At 38.5% G+C, this 20,167-nt stretch overlaps 1 protein-coding gene and 1 pseudogene across 1 annotated transcript in view, besides 1 other annotated feature; one reads left to right on the forward strand and one right to left on the reverse strand.

Annotated features, from left to right (window-relative positions):
• The window catches only part of TCF4 (transcription factor 4), a 413,773-nt gene extending 402,720 nt beyond the window's left edge, over positions 1-11,053 (reverse strand). Inside the window, exons 1-2 of the mRNA NM_001243226.3 lie at positions 10,799-11,053; positions 6,394-6,484 (exon numbers count right to left, since the gene is read on the reverse strand). Of these exons, the coding sequence (NP_001230155.2) occupies positions 6,394-6,484; positions 10,799-10,993 (286 nt within the window). The 5' untranslated portion in view covers positions 10,994-11,053. The remainder of the gene's footprint in view (positions 1-6,393; positions 6,485-10,798) is intronic.
• Positions 2,942-3,441: an enhancer, noted in NCBI's record as "H3K4me1 hESC enhancer chr18:53295077-53295576 (GRCh37/hg19 assembly coordinates)". NCBI's record gives its function as "activates a minimal SCP1, AML or CMV promoter by ChIP-STARR-seq in primed H9 embryonic stem cells {active_cell/tissue: H9 hESC(primed)}" and the evidence as "EXISTENCE:reporter gene assay evidence [ECO:0000049][PMID:30033119]".
• Positions 10,890-11,442, forward strand: RPL21P126 (ribosomal protein L21 pseudogene 126; annotated as a pseudogene).

The following is a 20,167-nucleotide window of genomic DNA, read 5'->3' on the forward strand; positions in this document are numbered from 1 at the left end:
ATGCCTGACCCTTCCTCATCCTAGTACCAGTCCTCACTCAATAATGTCTTGGAATGACTCCTATAAAAATAGCCGACTTTTTTTTGGTACAAAGTACTACAGATTGTTTCTAGAAATTATGACCATAGAGATAAATATTTTCATAAAAATCATGGCTTTCTATATTCAAAGTCTGGTATTTTAGAGAATAAAGAATTGTTTTTTGAAAGTTGAGGAATTTTCATAATAGTTTGGAGTATCAATTATTAAAAATCTTATACAAATATTTCATAATCCATATACAGTTATACAAATGTTAATCTTTATTAATGTTATTGTTGCTGCTCAAGCTACAACTTTTTTTTTTTTTTTTGAGATGGGAACTTGCTTTGTCGCCCAGGCTGGAGTGCAGTGGCCTGATCTCGGCTCACTGCAACCTCTGCCTCCTGGGTTCAAGTGATCCTCCTGCCTCAGCCTCCTGAGTAGCTGGGACTACAGGCGCACACCACCATGCCCAGCTAATTTTTGTATGTTTAGTAGAGACGGGGTTTCACCATATTGGCCAGGATGGTCTCGATTTCCTGACCTTGTGGTCCACCCGCCTTGGCCTCCCAAAGTGCTGGGATTGCAAGCGTGAGCCACTGTGCCCAGCCAAGCTACAACTCTTAAAAGTACCACTGTTAAAAGTATTGCCATAAAACTGTTTTTAAAAGAAAGTTGTCCCACCGATGAGAGAATTTTAGTCCCAGCAATGTAAGTTTATTTTACCTCCCAAAGAATGTATTTTCTGATATATTTTTGTAAATATTTTTGTTGATGATATGAAGTCTTTTGTTTTGCTATCATTGTTTTTGCAGTAAAATTCAACAGTTTTCCTTGACCTCTACATTCCTATGATTTTTAAAAAATAGAAGAAAGGAAGTATTTTTTATTTCTTTCCTTTGATATATCCATCCAAATACGATTTCTCGTTCCACCTTCATAAGATGTGTTCTTTTCACTGAATGTAATCCTGGAGATAAACTCAGATTCAGGCAAGTGGACTGGCAGCCTTCCATAGTGGACTACTTTATGACAGAGAATAGTATTTCCGTCCCTTTCCTATTAATTTCTATCAAAAGCCTGCTTTACTTTCTTGTTTCCCAGTGGAACTATTTCTATTTGATTTCAATTAAAAATGAAATGTCAGCATTTCAGGATGTGTTGTACTATTTTATGGTGCACACTATTCCAACTCATTAGGGAGAAGGCAGCATATTTGGAGGAAGCCCAGTTGGGATGGAAAAATAGATGTCTGTTTCACATTTTCATTAGAAATAGAAATCAAAATGTATTTTATCACAACCACTACTTAAAGGAAGAATCTGGGCAATCGGTTTTCCAATTCCCATATATTCACTATCTTGAACTTACCTGGAGGTTTCCTTTATTAGATCATATTTTCCATATTCCCCAGCTAAATTTATCTAGAAACAATCTCGCCTTCATTTCTTGTCTGTGAATACTATATCCTGTTGAAAAAAAGTTCCTAGAGGTTGGTGAAGTAGTTAGAGCTGTTAAAAAGTTGAGGACATCACAGGTGGAATTTTATATATGTTTGGTGTTCCAGGAGCAAACTTCCATGCTTCAATTTTTGACAATCTGAGACTTGACATATAAAAATTCAAACGTGTATGAAACTTCAGGAAAGTTAGCATCACTCTGTTTCTTCTTTCTCAAAGAAATGGGCATATGTAGGTAGTTATGGAAATGCTTTGGTAGTGATGACAGCTTGACCAGGAGTGTAAAAGGTACGATAACAGGATCACTTCTAAAAATTTCAACAAGATATCTCTAATATTTCCTGAAGTACCAGCATCCATCTGGAAAATGAAATGTCTTTCCACTTAAAGGCAAATAATATAATTTTTCCAGTTTTCTTTTTTGTAAGAGGAAAATGATAAAGGAATGTGCTTTCTGACTGTATCATATTTGACAGTACAGAGCACATAAACTGGGAGAAGCACAAATTGTGTAGGCAAATTTCACAGAAAATTAAAATCACTAAACACTGAAATAATCGGGCACCAGCTTCTGTATATGGACAAAAGCTTGAACAAAAAATATACTGACCCTTTCTTTGGTGCCAATGTTCAGCTAATCGATGTGATTACAGTGTGAAGGCTTGAGGTGCTGGGTGAATGGTTAATGTTGCTGTTCAACTTTTGCAGCCCTGCCTCAAATTGAGTCAGAGATTTTTTGCTCAAAATGAGTGGTTCTAATTTGGTAACTCCAATGGCTCCCTTTTCACAGTTACTTGCTGAGTGTACTGCTGCTGAAGGCTGTGTGTTCATTCTATGAACATGTCCAGAAGAATGTTTTTGTCAACAAACATATTGAGCATTGACTGAGTGCTAGATATTGTGTGGAGTGATAGAGAGAAAAGCCATAGAATTCCTGGGAATGCAGGCATTATGGTGCAGTAGAGGAAACAGACCAATATATACATACATGAAAAAAAGTCTCATAGATGTCCCAATAATGGCTTCCACAGGGTACAATGGCAATGCAGGAAGACAGTGGCCACGTGTATTCAGAAGAGTCAAGAAAGGCTTCATAGGCTGGGCGCAGTGGCTCACACCTGTAATCTCAGCACTTTGGGAGGCCAAGGCGGGTGGATCACTTGAGGTCAGGAGTTCGAGACCAGCCTGCCCAACATGGTGAAACCCCCGTCTTTACTGAAAATACAAAAATTTGCTGGGAGTGGTGGCAGGTGCCTGTAATCCCAGCTACTCGGAAGGCTGAGGCAGGACAATTGCTTGAACCCAGGAGGTGGCAGTTGCAGTGAGCCGAGATCATGCCACTGCATTCCAGCCTGGGTGACAGAGTGAGACTCCATCTCAAAAAACAAAACAAGGCCGGGTGCAGTGGCTCACGCCTGTAATCCCAGCACTTTGGGAGGCCGAGGCGGGCGGATCACGAGGTTAGGAGATCGATACCATCCTGGCCAACACGGTGAAACCCTGTCTCTACTAAAAATACAAAAAATTAGCAGGGCGTGGTGGCAGGCGCCTGTAGTCCCAGCTACTCGGGAGACTGAGGGAGAAGAATGGCGTGAACCCGGGAGGCGGAGCTTGCAGTGAGCCATGATCGCGCCACTGCACTCCAGCCTGTGCGACAGAGCGAGACTGTCTAAAAAACAAACAAACAAACAAAGAACAGCTTCATAGAGGACATTCAAGCCACTAGTTTTTAATGAGGATCATTTCAAGGCTGACAACTACCTGGCTTCAGGACTTGGTGGTGATAGTGACCTTGACTTCCTCTCTTGCCCCGTATATTCAGAAGGAACACTAGCAAAACTTCTCTAGGAACTGGATGACATTAAGAAGGAAGGCTGAACTCTCATGTGTACATATGGGAATTTGAGAGAGGCACTGCTTTCCTGGCATCTGGTTTGGCCACTAACATCACAATGATGCATCTTCCAATGAAAATCCTGCTGTTCTTATTTCTGTGTTCAAATTTCAGGCTGAATTTGACAGAATTTAATTCTTTTTAAAAAAACTTTTTAAAAAGTTTTTTAATTGATGTACCACTTAATCTTTTTAATAATCTTTTTTTCACTAATATAGAGTTAACTTATTTTTAAATGTTGTGTTTAGTGGGCCTCCTGTCTTTCATTATACACAGAAAAGCCTTGGAAAAAAATTAAAATACCAGATAATGTCCATTAGTGATGGTCATTGGAAAACACATTCTGTAGGCATGATGTTATATAAAATAAGTATGATCATGCCCTAGGTTGATGTGCAAAATATTTTTCTAGGCCAGAATTAACCAAAACTTCACACCCTTGAAGGAAGCTTTAAAATATTTCGATCAATTTCTACAAAAGAACCATTATTTTGTATGTCTTTGTTTTGCAAAAACACTCATCTGGTTTAAGATAGCAATTTGTATGCATTTGAGGCTGACAAACGGACATCACTAGTTCTATGAAAAGAGTGCATATGTAGTAAAATGCCAGACTAGACAGAAACAAGGAATAATCCTCTAGAAAAATAGACATAAGTCGACAGACTTCAAAAGAATTGAGAACACAATTGTTGCTAAATATTTCTTTATACATTTATAAATAAGTAGTAAATAATTTCATAAATGCACAAAGTTCCCATGTAATAAATATTGTATGCAATGCAAAATTCACAATCTTATATTTTACATAACAATCTTATAAAAAATAATATTTTGTGTGTGTGATACTTTCTTATTTCAATGTGAAAAAAACTTTCATGATTCTACAAATGTCTGGAAAATTCATGACAAGGCCTGTTGATATATTTGGTATGCTGACAAGAAGTCCTAAGATCACTATCAATTGAGACACTCCTACTGTCAAGTGGAAATGTAAAATTCATACCAATATTTATAGCTCTCTGGCAAAGCATTGGCTATTATGCCTCCTGGATATACCAAATTAAAATATCTGGATGGTGATGACGAATGAAAGTTAACTAAATTTAGGGAGGTCTGCAGTGTAAATCATGCTCCAACAAGCCTAAAAACCTGGTGGCAAAGATCATAAACATAATACCAGGAGATGTTTGACAGCCTCTTCCTGAAAGTAAGGTATAAGATACTATGGGGCTTGGGTGCTAAAATACAACAAACTTATTTCATAAAAATGGCAAAGATAAGAAGATTGCTGAAACTCAGAACCCGGGTGAGTGAACGCCTGTGTGCAGCTGCTATAAAACTGGATGATTCTAACAGTTGGACAAGGTTGTGGAGCTATAGTATTGTGCTTGAAGCCAGCGTAGAAACTACAAAGCTGTTCTTCGTAGAAGTACAGAAGAGACCAACAAAGGCACAGGAGTGAAATCTATCTAAAAACTTTTATGTAAAATCACTCTCTTAAACTAAAGTCTTGAACCATGCACAATTGAAATGTAAGACAGACATCACTATTCTGGTTGCTATAATCTTGGACCACGGGGCTTTTGTAAAACAAATGATTTCTAAGTGCTTAAGGTCAAAGTGGAAAAAAAAAGGCATTTTATCAAACTTATTCAAAGGGAGAAAGATCCTCCAAGGTGAATGTCATGCCCTTGGCTCATGTATCATTCGTAGGGAATTCTTTGGGGCCTTTCTAAGATTTCACTGTATGTTTACCTCATCTGTGTAATTTAAACCATTTTGAGCACCATCTGAAGACATTTGTGTCTTCAGCTAAAGTAAAGCAAAGGTTTGTTTTTTAAAAATTACTATATCATTAATTTAAAATATAAAGGGCTGAAAATAATGAACTAACATCTCTGAAATTTTATATAGAATAATAATGTGTTAGATAATTATAACATTTAATTACTTGAGAAGAGCGTGCTTTCAAAGTTGTATACTACTTAGGGGCATTATTGAATTCACAAAATTTTACTACATTAACTATAATGGCACTAAGTTCTTAATCATTATCATGAAAAATAAAAATGTGTTGATTGCATACTATTTCAATGGCACTGTGCTAGACACTGGGAATTCAAAAATAACATAAAGGCCCCTGACCTTAATCAATGATATGCTAACTGAGACTACCAAGCCCATGGCAGAAAAGAAAGGAAATATGTCAGATGAATTACAAGTGTCAGAAGTCCACTGAAAGGGATAATCATTATAGGCTGATTTCTGGAAAGCTTGTTGAAATTTAATCAACATTCAATATGGCTCATTTATTCATTCTATAAAGAGCTATTAAATGTTTATTGTGTGGCAGAAACTCTTGCTAGGAGCATAGCATGCTATGCCTCTTTTCTTTTGGAGTTTATAACCCCAAAGAGGAGGCTTTACCAAATAATCCATAACACAGTGTGTAAAAGAAATCTAAGACTATGAGACCATATAAATAGAGTGCTGACCTAGTTTGATGGCAAGGAAGGCTTCTTGGAGGAATTTGACTTGTTTTCTGTAGGATGAGTGGTGATTAAATGGACAGAATTGGGAAGAGGACTGATGCAGATAGGAGCATCAGCATATGCAAAGGCTTTGTCCTATTTGAAAATAGCAAAGGAGGCCAGAGTGGCCAGGAAACACAGAAAAGAAGGAGCACAATGCAAGATGGCACTGGGTCAGTACATACAAGGCCTTGTTGGACATATGCAACATGTTTATCTTTATTGTAAGAGCAATGGGTTTTTTTTTTTTTTTTGAAATAGAATCTCACTCTGTCACCCAGGTTGCAGTGCAGTGGCATGATCTCGACTCACTGCAACCTCTGCCTCCTGGGTTCAAGCAATTCTCCTGCCTCAGCCTCTTGAGTAGTTGGGACTACAGGCACATGCCACCATACCCAGCTAATTTCTGTGTTTTTAGTAGAGACAGGATTTCATCATGTTGGCCAGGCTGTCTTGAACACCTGACCTCAGGTGATCCACCTACCTTGGCCTCCCAAAGTGCTGGGATTACAGGTGTGAGCCACCATGCCCGTCCAAGAGATAATGTTCTTAGATTGGTGTTTACAAAACATTTGCTGCAGGGTGGAGAAAAGATGGTGGACATGTTAGAATGAAGGCAGGTAGACAAGTTAGAAGATGGTACTGGTAGTCTGGGGAAGAAATGATAATGTTTTGGGTTAGGGTAATGCCCTACAGGGATGAAGACAAGTGCACAGAAACTCTTGACAAATGACTAAGCTGGTGAAAGGAATCACTTCTATCTGCTGCAAATACATAGACACACTTAAAATATATAGCTGAGCTGGAAAGCAAAAGGGAAATTGACGCATGTCAAAAACAAAGCCATTGTTGCAAGTTGAAGATTCAGTCTATTGAGTTCTGAGAGTAGGTGAGTGCCTTAGGAATGATGTTTAATGCCTGTCTTGGTAGTGGAATTCATCCTGGTAGCAGCAGTTATTTCGATTTGCAGTTGTTCCAAAACTTGCATAACCAACCTCGTTGCATCCCTCAGAAACGCTAGTACCAACAGGCCAGCAGACTCTGCTCAAAGGTATTAATTCCAATTCTGCAGGGCCCTTCCTCCAAGTTTCTAAATGTTAGTAATTCTAATCTCATCCTTTTAGTCCCTTAACCCTAGTGGGGTAGCATCCTTCTGCAGTTCCTTCCATGCCTCAATGCCCTCTTTTTGCCCTGATTAACAGTTCTTTTTGTTGTTGTTGTTGTTTTTGTTTTGTTTTGTTTTGAAACGTAGTCTCGCTCTGTGGCCCAGGCTGGAGTGCAGTGGCACGATCTCGGCTTGCTGCAAGCTCCGCCTCCCGGGTTCAGGCCATTCTCCTGCCTCAGCCTCCCGACTAGCTGGGACTACAGGCGCCTGCAACCACATCCTGCTAATTTTTTGTATTTTTAGTAGAGACGGGGTTTCACCATGTTAGCCAGGACGGTCTCCATCTCCTGACCTCGTGATTCACTCGCCTCGGCCTCCCAAAGTGCTGGGATTACAGGCATGAACCACCGCGCCCGGCCAACAGTTCTTTAGGTTAATTTTTGTCTACTAACATAACTGGTGTGTCTGACTGGACCCTAACTGTTATACAGGGAATAGAGACAAGAATCAAAAGGCAATATTCAGGGAGACGATGGAGTTTTTTGAGAGTTGAAGAGCTATATGTCTTCAGATTGTAAAGATCACACCAAGTCTTAGGTAGGATGAATAAAAGCAAACCCAGGTTTAGGCTCAAGGTTATTCAGAAAACATCAAAGGCTATCAGAAGGAAAGATAGATTACCTTCAAAGAATGATGCTCTTACAGAAGACTTCTCATGATCAGCAGATGCCAGAGACAATGAAAGAGCATCTCTATAGTACTGCTGGAGGGTAACATCCTGATTTAAAAACTACATATTAGTTAATTTGGCTGAAATTGATAATGGATTGAATATAGGGTGTGAAGGACAAAGAAGTATCACAGAAGGCCAGAGTTGTAGTTTATGGATTAAGCTCATTATGCCATTAACTGGGATAGGGAATATTGGAGGAAGATCCTGTCTGAGGGAAAGAGACCAAAGTCTCACACATGTTGGGTTTTAGATGCCTTTGAGATCTCTAGGAACAGATGTGGAATAGGTAGTTATATATGAAGGTATGAGGTCATAGGAGAGGTCCAGGCTGTGGTTGTATATTTGAGTCTTTGGTCAGTGGATGGTAAATGAAGGTTTTCTTATGTATTAGTTATCAATTGCTGTATAAGAAATTAACCTGAAGCTTAGTGGCTTAAAACAACATTAAGTATTTATTATCCTCACAGTTTCTATGGGTTGGGTATTTGGAATGTGGCTTAGCCAGATAGTTCTGGCTTACGGTCTGTTCTGAGGTTTGAGCCAAGATGTGGACTGGGCCTGCAAGTCAGCAAGTTCCTCTAAAGGATTGACCAAGCCTGCAGTATCAGCTTCTAAGGTGGCTCCCACATGCCTGGCAAGTTGGTGCTGGCTGTTGGCAGGAGGCCTCAGCTTCTCTCCATGTGGGACTCGCCACAGTCTGCTTGAGTGTCTTTATGATATGGGGGTTGGCTTCTTCCAGAATTAGTGATCTAAAAAGAGCAAAGTGGAAGCCACAGTGCCCTTTATGACCTAGTTTAAGAAGTCACACACTGACACCTCTGCCATGTCCTATTTGTTGCAAGCAAGTCACGAATTCCAGCCTATATTCAAGGGGATGGGGGCTCCACCTTTTGAAGTTAGTTTTGTTGGAGGATTTGTGGACATATTTTAAACCCAGAATACCTGGGGAGATACTATAGCATGAGTAAAGAAAGAGAGGCTAGAGCAGGGGTGGGCAAACTTTTTCTGTAAAGGGCCAGATAGCAAATTTTTTAAGCATTGCAGGCCATATGGTCTCTGTCACAATAATTCACCTTTGCTGTTGTAGCATACTTAATGACAATACTTAAATGAATAGGTATGTCTCGGTTAAGCCCAAAGTAGGTCTGTGGGCTATAGTTTGTCAACCCTTGATATAGAGCATAGCCAGGAGAAACAGCTGTATACAAAGGCTAAAAACCAAACCAAAACAAAAAAGGCACAAAACAACAACAACAACAACAACAACAACAACAACGAAGTCCAGGTGCAGCAGGGAAGTTTAGGATCTAACAAAAAACATAATACTATAATTTAGGCTGGGCGCAGTGGCTCACACCTGTAATCCCAGAACTTGGGGAGGCCAAGGCGGGCGGGTCACCTGAGGTCAGGAGTTCAAGACCAGCCTGGCCAACATGATGAAACCCCGTCTCTACTAAAAATACAAAAATTAGCCACGCGTGGTGGCAGGGGCCTGTAATCCCAGCTACATGGGAGGCTGAGACAGGAGAATGGCTTGAGCCCAGGAGGTGGAGGTTGCAGTGAGCCAAGATTGTGCCACTGCACTCCAGCCTGGGGCAACAGAGTGAGACTCCGTCTCAAAAAAAACAAAAACAAAAACAAAAAAAAAAACTAGAATTTATATGAAACAGTTCTATTAGCTATTAATGTCTCTGTTTTATTCACCTTTTTTCTTTTACTAATTTATAATATTTTACATATTTGTTTCTGTTTTTTTAGTTGTGAAAACTGAGGCTCATGTTGTTTTAGAAACTTATCCAAGTTAGAAGTAGCAGGGAATTTAAAACCAAATCTGTCTGATTCAAAGTTTATGTTCTTTCCATTTCAAAAAGAAAAAACATCCCATCTAGTGTGGAGGAATAGGTGCAAGCATGGTCAGAAAGATAGTTTGGGCCATACTGAAGGGCATTGGATGCCACGGGCTTTGTACTTTGGTGATGGGTTTTGAGCAATAAGTTGTGAGTCACATGATTGCAATTTTATCCTATATTAAACTGACAATGGTGTATTTATGACCTTGTGGTAGGGAGTAACAAAGTGAGGGATATTGAGCAAGAGGCTGATTCAATAATCTAGACAGGAAATTGTTAGGATCTGAACTTGAAAGATGTTAATTACGTAGAAGTGATATTGCACAGAAAAGTCCAACTGAACACTGGAAATAGACTGTTGAAGGAAGAACCAAAAATGATCCTGAAAATGGCAGCTAGATTGATAAAGGAAGTCGTAAGGGGGTGCTGTTTTATGCAGAAATTATGAGTTCCTTTTTAGATATATTGAATTTGAGATGCCAGCATGACATCCAAATGGAGGTGTATTAGAGAAAAAACACATGAGAGTGGTTAGGGCTGGAGATGTGGTTTTATAAATGTACATGCTGGCAGAGTTCTTGGAGAGAAAGAGGAACCATGGATTATGAATACTGAGAAGCAGCCAACTTTAGAATGTTGATGGGAAAGGAGACAGAGGAGCAGTGCAAAAGATTAGACAAGAGTCAACGCCTTGTACAGTCTCAGCAAGAATCTCAAGAAGGCAGGGCCATGCGTGGTGGCTCATGCCTGTAATCCCAGCACTTTGGGAGGCCGAGATGGACAGATCACTTGAAGTCAGGAATTCGAGGCCAGCCCAACCAACATGGCAAAACCCTGTCTCTACTAAAAATACAGAAGTTAGCCGGGCATTGTGGTGCATGCCTGTAATCTCAGCTACTTGGGAGGCTGAGGCATGAGAATTGCTAGAACCCGGGAGGCAGAGGCTGCAGTGAGCCAAGAATGTGCCATTGCACTCCAGCCTGTGAGACAGAGTGAGGCCCTGTCTCAAAAAAAAAAAAAGAAAAGAAAAAGAAAAAAAGAAAAGACTCTCAAGAGGGCAGGCCAAGTGCTGTGGAGATGTCAGGGAGAGAGGTTAGAGAGCTAGAAACTACCGTTATGTTTGGCCATGGTGGCCATGGGAGATCATTTTTGGTTTCAGTTTCTACTAAGATGCTAAAGTAGCCCAAATGCTGGTTCCTACCTCCAAGGGCCTCCTGGAGAAGCTCGAGTAGCAGTTCTCAACCCAAGTGCATGTTACAATGTCCTGAGAAGTTTTAAAAAATGATGGCTGGCTTTCAACTGCACCCTCCATCTTTGAGTAATTTGTCAAAATGATGAAGATGAAGGGAAAGAGGAGAGGCACCTGTGGTATTTTCTCCAGCCTTTTAGAAAACATGGTGTTGTTCCTTTGGCCGCATAAGTGCCAATCTACAAGAAAGGTGATACTGTAGACATCAAGAGAATGGGCACTGTTCGAAAAGGAATGCTGCACAAGTGTTACCATGGCAAAGCTGGAAGAGTCTACTGTGTAACCCAGCATGCTGTTGGCATTGTTGTAAACAAACAAGATAAGAGAAAGATTCTTGCCAAGAGAATTAATGTACATATTGAGCATATTAAGCACTCTAAGAGCTGAGATAGCATCCTGAAATGGTAGGAGGAAAATGATCAGAAAAAGAAGGAAGCCGAAGAGAAAGGGATCTAGGTTCAACCGAAAAACCAGCCTGCTCTGCCCAGAGAAGCACATTTTCTGAGACCCAAAGAAAAGGAGCTCGAGCTGCTAGAATCTATTCCCCATGAATTCATGGCATGATAGGCATAAACTAAATAAATAAAGACCTTGGGATGGTTAAAAAAAAAAAGAAAGAAAGAAAGAAAAAAGAAAAAAAACGATGTCTCAGTCTCATCCTAAGAACTTCTAAATTAATTGGTCTAGGAGTGTGGCTTGGGCATTGAGATTTTAAAAAATCTCCCCAAGTAATTCTAATACACAGCCAAAATTGAGACTTATGGCCATAGAGGAAAAATACCAAATTATGGAGAAAATTGTGGGAAGTTCCTGGGGTAATAGTAGCTGTTTTGAAGTTGTGTGTGTGTGTGTGTGTGTGTGTGTGTGTGTGTGTGTACCTTAGGGGGAGACATATCTGAGACCAGGGGTGGTGCAGCACTTCTGTGGGAGGTTAACATAGGAAGGGAATTTAGGAATTTTGCTCTTACTTTTCCAAACATTGCTTTGGGACGAATAATACCCAACCTTCTACTTGCAATGACTCTGATGCTTCAAACATAAGAGCAGGGCAGCATAAAAGTCTTGATCCTGTGAGATACTGAGAAGAACAGGTGTAGATTCACTAAACTAGGATCGCTTTTCTACCTCCTTTTTTCCATCTCAAAATCTGCAGATCTGGGGATTTACAGCATTGGAATGTCTCTTTTTTTTTTTTTTTCGGAGTCTCCCTCTTTCGCCCAGGTTGGAGTGCAGTGGTGCAGTGTCAGCTCACTGCAACTTCCACCTCCCGGGTTCAAGCGATTCTCCTGGCTCAGCATCCTGAGTAGCTGGGATTACAGGCACGTGCCACCATACTCGGCTAATTTTTGTATTTTTAGTAGAGATGGGATTTCACCATGTTGGTCAGGCTGGTCTCAAACTCCTGACCTCATGACCTGCCCGCCTCGGCCTCCCCAAGTGCTGGGATTACAGGTGTGAGCCACTGCACCCGAACGGAATGTCTCTTAATATGGTATCCCAAGAAGGGCAAACAGTAAAATCTTGACGAGCTGTTCTGTGGAACGAGGAATGATTAACTTTGGTTTTCTGGGGCCTCCACCAGAAAACTTTCCACACTAAGTCTCATTCATCCCACCCCTACCCCCATACTAAATACTCTGATGAGGGCTGAAATCCGGCTTCTCCCCACGTACACTGCCTGATGCCCTCGTGGGGAGATGAGTTCACAGTCCAAACTAATAGGTCTTATCAGGAGCACAACTATTTCAAAGGAAAAACAAACACTGGATTACATAGTTCATCAGAAGCAGCATTGTTAGAAAGACAAACGATTTAAAATTAGCCTAATAAAAATTCTAAGACATAAGAAACTAGTAGTAATATGAAATAAGAATAAAAAATATACTCAAGCAGCTATATTAGGTAAAAAACATGATAGCTGAAATAAAACTGTAATGAGATAAATGGCAGAATGAATACAACTGAAAAATAAATTAGAATTGGAAGAAAGGATTGAGGAAAGAATGAAGGAAAGTACAAACAAATTACAAATTTTTTTTAAAAAGCTATACAAAGGAAAGAAATAATGGTTATAAGTTCTGGCTAATAAGAGTCCAATAAAAGAAGTAATAATGAAAAGAAAACATGGAAGGAATACATTTCCCACAATTTAAAATACAAGGAAGAAAGACTTCAAATTGAAAGAGCCCTTAGAATAACAGATAAAGAAAACCTACAAGGAAACATATTTCAATTGAATAGTTTTGAAGAAAAAGAGAGTTCTAAAAAAGCAGATTACATACAGAGGAACAGGATCAGATTGATATGATAGTTTTTGAAAAACAATTTAAGAAATAGTGGTTTTTATTTTTGTTTTTTGTTTTTTTGTTTTCGTTTTTGTTTTTTGCCGGGCATGGTGATGCATGCCTGTAGTCCTAGCTACTGAGAAGGTTGAGGTGGGTGGATCACTTGAACCCGGAGAGGTCCAAGCCACAGTGAGCCACTGGCCATAATAGTGCCCCTGCCCTTCAGCCGGGGTGATAGAGTGAGACCCTGTCTCAATTTAAAAAAAATAGTGGTAGTAAAAATATTTAAGAAAAATAATTTAGAACTTGGAATTTTGTATCTACCCAAACTGTCATTTAAATATGAGGGCTAGATAAGAATATTCTCTCATACATAAGACCTCAGAAGGATCCCCACTCAAAGAGCATTATCAAAAAGAGTTTTAGATAAAGCACTTAAGGAAGTGAAGAGACAAATTCAGGAGAAGCTGCAATAAATATATGAAGTAAAAGTGATTTAATACTTTGGTAGCTTTTTATCACTGCTATTGTCTTTAAAGCATTACTAAGAAGAAAATAAAATTGTATATCCATAATAATCTTAAAAAGTATGAAAATATGAAGTAAAAGTGATTTAATACTTTGGTGGCTTTTTGTTATCACTGCTATTGTCTTTAAAGCATTACTAAGATAGAAGAAAATAAAATAGTGTATCCATAATAATCTTAAAATATGAAAATCTGGATAATGTCAACATAATGAGAGTTGAAGGGAAATGAAGTATATGAAAATGTCATATAAACACCCAAATACAAAAACAATCCAGAGAATGGATTAAGAAGACACATAGAAAATATGGGAAATAAATTAAGTGGGCTGGGCATGGTGGCTCATGCCTGTAGCTCCAGCACGTTGGGAAGCTGGGGTGGGCGGATCATTTGAGCTCAAGAGTTTGAGACCAGCCTGAGCAACATGGTGAAACCTGTCTCTACAAAAATTACAAAAATTAGCCAGGCCTGGTGGTACGTGCCTGTAGTCCCAGCTACTCCAGAGGCTGAAGTGGGAGAATCGCTTGAGCATGGGAGGTCAAGGCTGCAGTGAGCTGTGATCACGCCATTGTACTCCAGCCTAGGTGATAGAACAAGAACCTGTCTCAAAAATAAGCAGACAAACAAACAAATAAGTGGTAGACAGATGTTCAAAAAATTTAAAATTTTAATAAATAGAAATGGACAAAAATGTAAATATTGACAGATCAGGGAAAAAATATTTAAATTAGATAAAAATAAATAGACATTAAAATTTTTCAAAAGAGCATTTTTAGGGATACGAATAGTGAAAATTAATAAAAATGACCTCAAAATACATAAAGCAAAGTTGAAAGAGGCACCCCAATCTTTATGCTGGGATGATATCAGAGGAAGGTGAGTAGGGAGCCTAGGTCTTTATTTCTGTTGACAGTAATGAAGCCTGCTTCCCTGGTGGTGCCAGTAGAGACCATGTAGGGAGGCTGAATTTCCACCTCAACCTGGCAGTAATGATCTGCCCATCCCTTCTCTACTAGGGTGATATTAAGGAGGCCTAGTAGAGAGTTAGGTCTTCACCACCACCCATTAGTAATGAGGGCCCCACCATGGTGTCAGTGGAAGACACCAGAGAATCTTTAGTGAGGCACCCCTACTCCTCCCTTCCAGGCAGATATCAGTGGAGGCCTCATGGGTAGCTGAACCTCCCACCCTTCCCTAACAGTAATAAGGAGCCCTTACCCCTCAGGTATCAATGGACATTTAAGAGAAACCTAGATGTCTACCCCCACCTGGCAGTAATAACACACCCTCCCCACACACACACACATATTTGCTTGAGTGGTATGAGAAGAAGTTGGCAAAAAAAGAGGCTTAATGCAATCCAGAGTCTCATAAAGTAAAATTGAAAATGACCAGGTTTCCAATTTTAAAATTGCTCATCAGATCAAGAACTGGGCAGATCTAATACTATATATATATATATTTTGAGACGGAGTCTCACTTCGTCACCAGGCTGGAGCACAGCGGCGCGATCTCGGCTCACTGCAACCTCTGCTTTCCAGGTTCAAGCAATTCTCCTGCCTCAGCCTCCCGAGTAGCTGGGATTACAGGCGCGTGCCACCACGCGCCTCTATTTTTAGTAGAGACGGGGTTTCACCATGCTGGTCAGGCTGGTCTCGATCTCGTGACCTTGTGATCCATCCGCCTCGGCCTCCCAAAGTGTTGGGATTACAGGCATGAGCCACCGCACCCGGCCTATATATCCGCACCTGGCCTATATATATGTTTTTTAATTAAAGGACAATTGGCCAGGCACGGTGGCTCACGTCTGTGATCCCAGCCCTTTGGGAGGCTGATATGGGCAGATCCTGTGAAGTCACAAGTTCAAGACCAGCCTGGTCAACATGGTGAAACCCTGCCTCTAATAAAAACATAAAAAATTAGCCGAGCATGGTGGCATGTGCCTGAAATCACAGCTACTTGGGAGGCTGAGGGAGGAGAATCACTTGAACCCAGGAGGCGGAGGTTGCAGTGAGCCGAGATTGTGCCACTGCACTCCAGCCTGGATGACAGAGCATGACTCTATTCCCCCCAACACCTCCCCACCAACAAAAAAAAAAAAAGAAAGAAAAGGACAATCAACTGATGTAAACATCAAAATAACAAAGATCTTTGAATTATCTAACAAAATTCTAAAGTAGCCATCTAAGAGTTTTAGAATGCTTCAGTGAGAAACTATAAGCTCACTTGAAACTAATAAAATAATAGCCTCGACAAATAAATAGAAGATTGTAAAGATGAACCAAATGAAAATTCTAGAGTTGCAAAATATAATAGCTAAAATAAAAACTTAATGGATGGACTCAACACTAGAGTGGAGGAACAGAGAGGAATGAATCAGTGTACTGGGAGATGAAACAATCGTAATTATCCAATCAGAATAACACAGAGAAAATAGTCTGGAAGAAAAGAAAGAACAGAGGTGAACAAAGATGCAGCGATCCATGTAATTATAACAAAAGATCTAAGTGCATTTCATCAGAGTCTTGGAAAGAGAAGAAATAGAATAGGGCTAAAAGGAACTTACAGAAATGATGACTGAAAACTTACAAACTTGGCAAAAGACATACACCTATGGATTTAAGAAGCTGAGCAAAGCCCAAACAAGATAACCACCCCCACCCCTAAAAAATGCACACCAAGAAACATTGTATTAGTTCGTTTTCACACTGCTGATAAAGACACACCCGAGACTGAGCAATTTATAAAGAAAAAGAGGCTTAATGGACTCACAGTTCCACGTGGCTGGGGAGGCCTCACAATCATGGTGGATGGTGAAAGGCGTGTCTCATATGGTGGCAGACAAGAGAGAATGAGAGCCAAGCAAAAGGGAAAACCCTTAAAAAACATCAGATCTCATGAGACTTATTCACTAACAGGAGAACAGTATGGGGGAAACCGCCTCCTCCCACCGAGTCCCTCCCACAACATGTGGGAATTATGTGAGCTACAATTCAAGATGAGATTTGGGTGGGGACACAGCCAAACCATATGATGCATTATAGTAAAACTTCTAAAACTAGACAAAGAAAAAATCTCCAAAGCAGCAATAAAGAAATGACAACTTAACTACAGGAGAAAACAGTTGGAATGACAGTCGATTTCTCATTAGAAACCACAGAAGCCAGAAGGAAGTAGCACAACATATTTCAAATGTCGAAAGAAAACAGCTGTTAACCCTGAATACAATATTCAGTGAAAATATCCTCTAGGAATGAAGGGGAAATCAGATGAGGGAAAATGAAGAGATTTACCCTAAAAGAATGACTAAAAGAAGTTCTACAGACTGAACGAAAATAATAAACCTTGGAACATAGTAGGGGAGAAAAAACACAGTAAGCAAAAATATGGGGTAAATACAAGAGACATTCCTTTTCTTGAGTTTTCTAAATTATGTTTGATAGCTGAGGCAAAAATTGTAACAATGTCTGGTGTGGTTCTGCATGTATGTAGAGAAAGTATTTAAGACAATCATGTTGTAAGTAGGGAGAGTAAAAGGACTTAACCTGGTGAAGTAACAACAGTAGAATGTGATGTTATAATGATATATAATGAAATGCCTAGAGTAACCACTAAAAAAGCTGTACAAAGAGCTATACTCAAAAACACTATAAATAAATCAAACGAAAAATTTTAAATGTCCCTGTAAGCCATAGAAAGGAAAAGAAAACAGAGAAATGAAAAACGGAAAGGACAAACAGAAAATAAAAAATATAAAATGGCAGATTTAAGCCCTAACATATCAATTACACTAAATGTGAATGGTCAAAACATATCAATTACAAGTCATAGATTTGCCTAGAATGAATGATAAAATTGATCCAACAATGAGCTCTCTGCATGAAACTCACTTTAAGTGTAATGATATAGATGGTTTGAAAGTAAAATAATGTAAAGTAATATATCATACAAATATTAATCAGAAGAAGTAGGAGTTGGCTATGTTAATATCAGATAAAATAGACACATGCAATTAAAATGAACAGGAATAAAAAGGTAAATCCACCAAGAAGACACAGCAATCTTAAATGTGCATGCTTCAAACAACAGAGCTGAAAAATTTGTGAGGCTGAAAAATATGTGAAGCAAAAACTGAAAGGAGAAATAGACAAATCCAACAAAAATTATAGTTGGAAACTTCAATACCTTTCTCTCAACAATTGATAGGACTAGATAAATATCAATTGCATAGAATAACTCAACAACAGCATCAACCAACAGGATCTAATTAATATTTACAGAACCCTCCACTCAAAAAAAGCAGAATACCTACTCTTTTCAAAAGCCCACAAAATACATACCAGTGTGAGCCACATCCTGGGCCATAAAACAAACCTCATCAAATTTAACATAACTGTTCTTTGACCACAGTGGAACCAAACTAGAAAACAGTGACAGAAGATAACAGGAAAATCTCCAAATACTGGTAAATGAAATTACAGATTTCTAAATAACTCACGACTTAACGAATAAGTCTTAAGAGAAATTTAAAAAATACATTGGACTGAATGGAAACAAAGTGACAACATATCAAAATTTGCGAGGCACAGCTAAAGCAGTGCTGATATGGAAATTTATAGTGCTAAATACATATATTAGAAAAAAAGTCTAAAATTGGTAATCTAAGTTCCCACCTCAATAGCTTAGAAAAAGAAGATTAAAATAAATTCAAAACAATAATAAGAAATAAAATAATAAATATAAGAACAGAAATCAATGAAATGGAAAACAAAAAATGATAGAGACAATCAATGAAACAAAGGGTTGGTTTTTTGAAAACAATAATAAAATTGACAAACCTATAGCATGAATGACAAAGAAAAAAGAGAGAGAGAACGCAAATTACTATTATCAGAAATTAAAGAGGGAATATCACTACAGACACTGCAGGCATCAAAAGGAGATAATAAGCGATATTATGAGCAACTCTATATACACAAATTTAACAATTTAGATAAAATTCTTCAAAAAATGCACCTGCCATTAAGTTCCCCAATAAAAGACAGATAATATGAATAGCCCTATAACTATTGAGAAAATTGAATTTGTAATTAAAGGACTTCCTCACAAAGAAATCTCCAGGCCCAGATGGTTTTATTGGAGAATTCTACCAAATGTTTCAGGAAGAATTAACAAGAATTGTATACAAACTTTTACAAAAAAATAGAAGAGGAAGAGACACTTTCCAATTCATTTTATGAAGCTAGTATTATCCTGATACTCAAATAAGATAAAGACAGTTTGAACAAAACAAAAAAAAAATTACAGAACAATAACCCCTAGGAATAAAGTTGCAAAATCATTAAGATAATAGAAAATAGAATTCAGCAATATACAAAAATATTTATGTATCATGATCAAATGAAGTTTATTCTAAGGATGCAAGGCAGTTTTAAAATTCGAAATGAGACAAGGATGCCCACATCACTACTTCTATTCAATATTTTATATGGAGGTCCTAGTCTGTGAAATAAAGCAAGAAAAATAAGATAACTTAAGAATTCGAACAAATAAAGTAAAGCTTTAATTGTTTGTGTAAAATGATTGCTAACATAGAAAATCTCAATTTACAAATTATTGGAAATAAATGGAGAGTTTAGCAAGATTAACATACAAACAGTTTTAGTTCTATAAACGCACAGCAAGCAACTAGAAAATTAAAGACAAGATATCACATGCAGTGTTGTCAGAGAGAATCACATCTCTAGAAAGAAATCTAACAAAACATGAGCAACATTTGTACAGGAATTATAAATTCTCATTGGCAGATATTGACAGAAACCTACACAAATGAAGAGATGTATCATGTTTATCAATAGGAAGAGTATTATTGCAAAGATGGTGTACTCTCTACATTGATTCAATGCAATTCCAATAAAGTTCTAAGATGGATTTTTATGAAAAGTAATAAAATCTTTCTAAAATTTATATGAAAGAATGAAAAGCCAAAAGTAGCCATGGCACTCTTGAAGAACAAGCAGAGAGAGGGGAATATGTCCTGCTAGGTGTTAAGGATTATTAGGAAATAATAGGAGATAAGACAGGATTGGTCCCAGCAATAGTGTACCTAAGTTAACAGGTACAAGAGTAGATGCCCAGAGGACACCTAACAATGGGACTTTGGAACTTGATAGAAATGGCAAATGAGATAAGCAGAGAAAGGCAAGGATGCCTAATAAATGAACCTTGAAAGATTGTTATTCATTTGCAAAAAGGTACTTTATACAAAAATAGCTTCAAATGAATTAAAAACTTAAATTTAAAAATTATAAAATTGGAAACCTTAAGAGAAAAAAATAGGTGAATATCTTTTATACCTTGAGATGAAAGATTAATTAACCCATTTTGTGTTTCCCCCGAGAAATGAGCGCTGGCAACAGGCTGCACTTTTTTTTTTTCTCTAAATGGGAAATGGGTTAGACAACACAGAAAACTGATTATAAAATATAAATAACTTTCTGTAAATTAGA

This window comes from Homo sapiens, chromosome 18 (genome assembly GCF_000001405.40).
Source record: "Homo sapiens chromosome 18, GRCh38.p14 Primary Assembly".
Classification (NCBI taxonomy): Eukaryota; Metazoa; Chordata; class Mammalia; order Primates; family Hominidae; genus Homo; species Homo sapiens.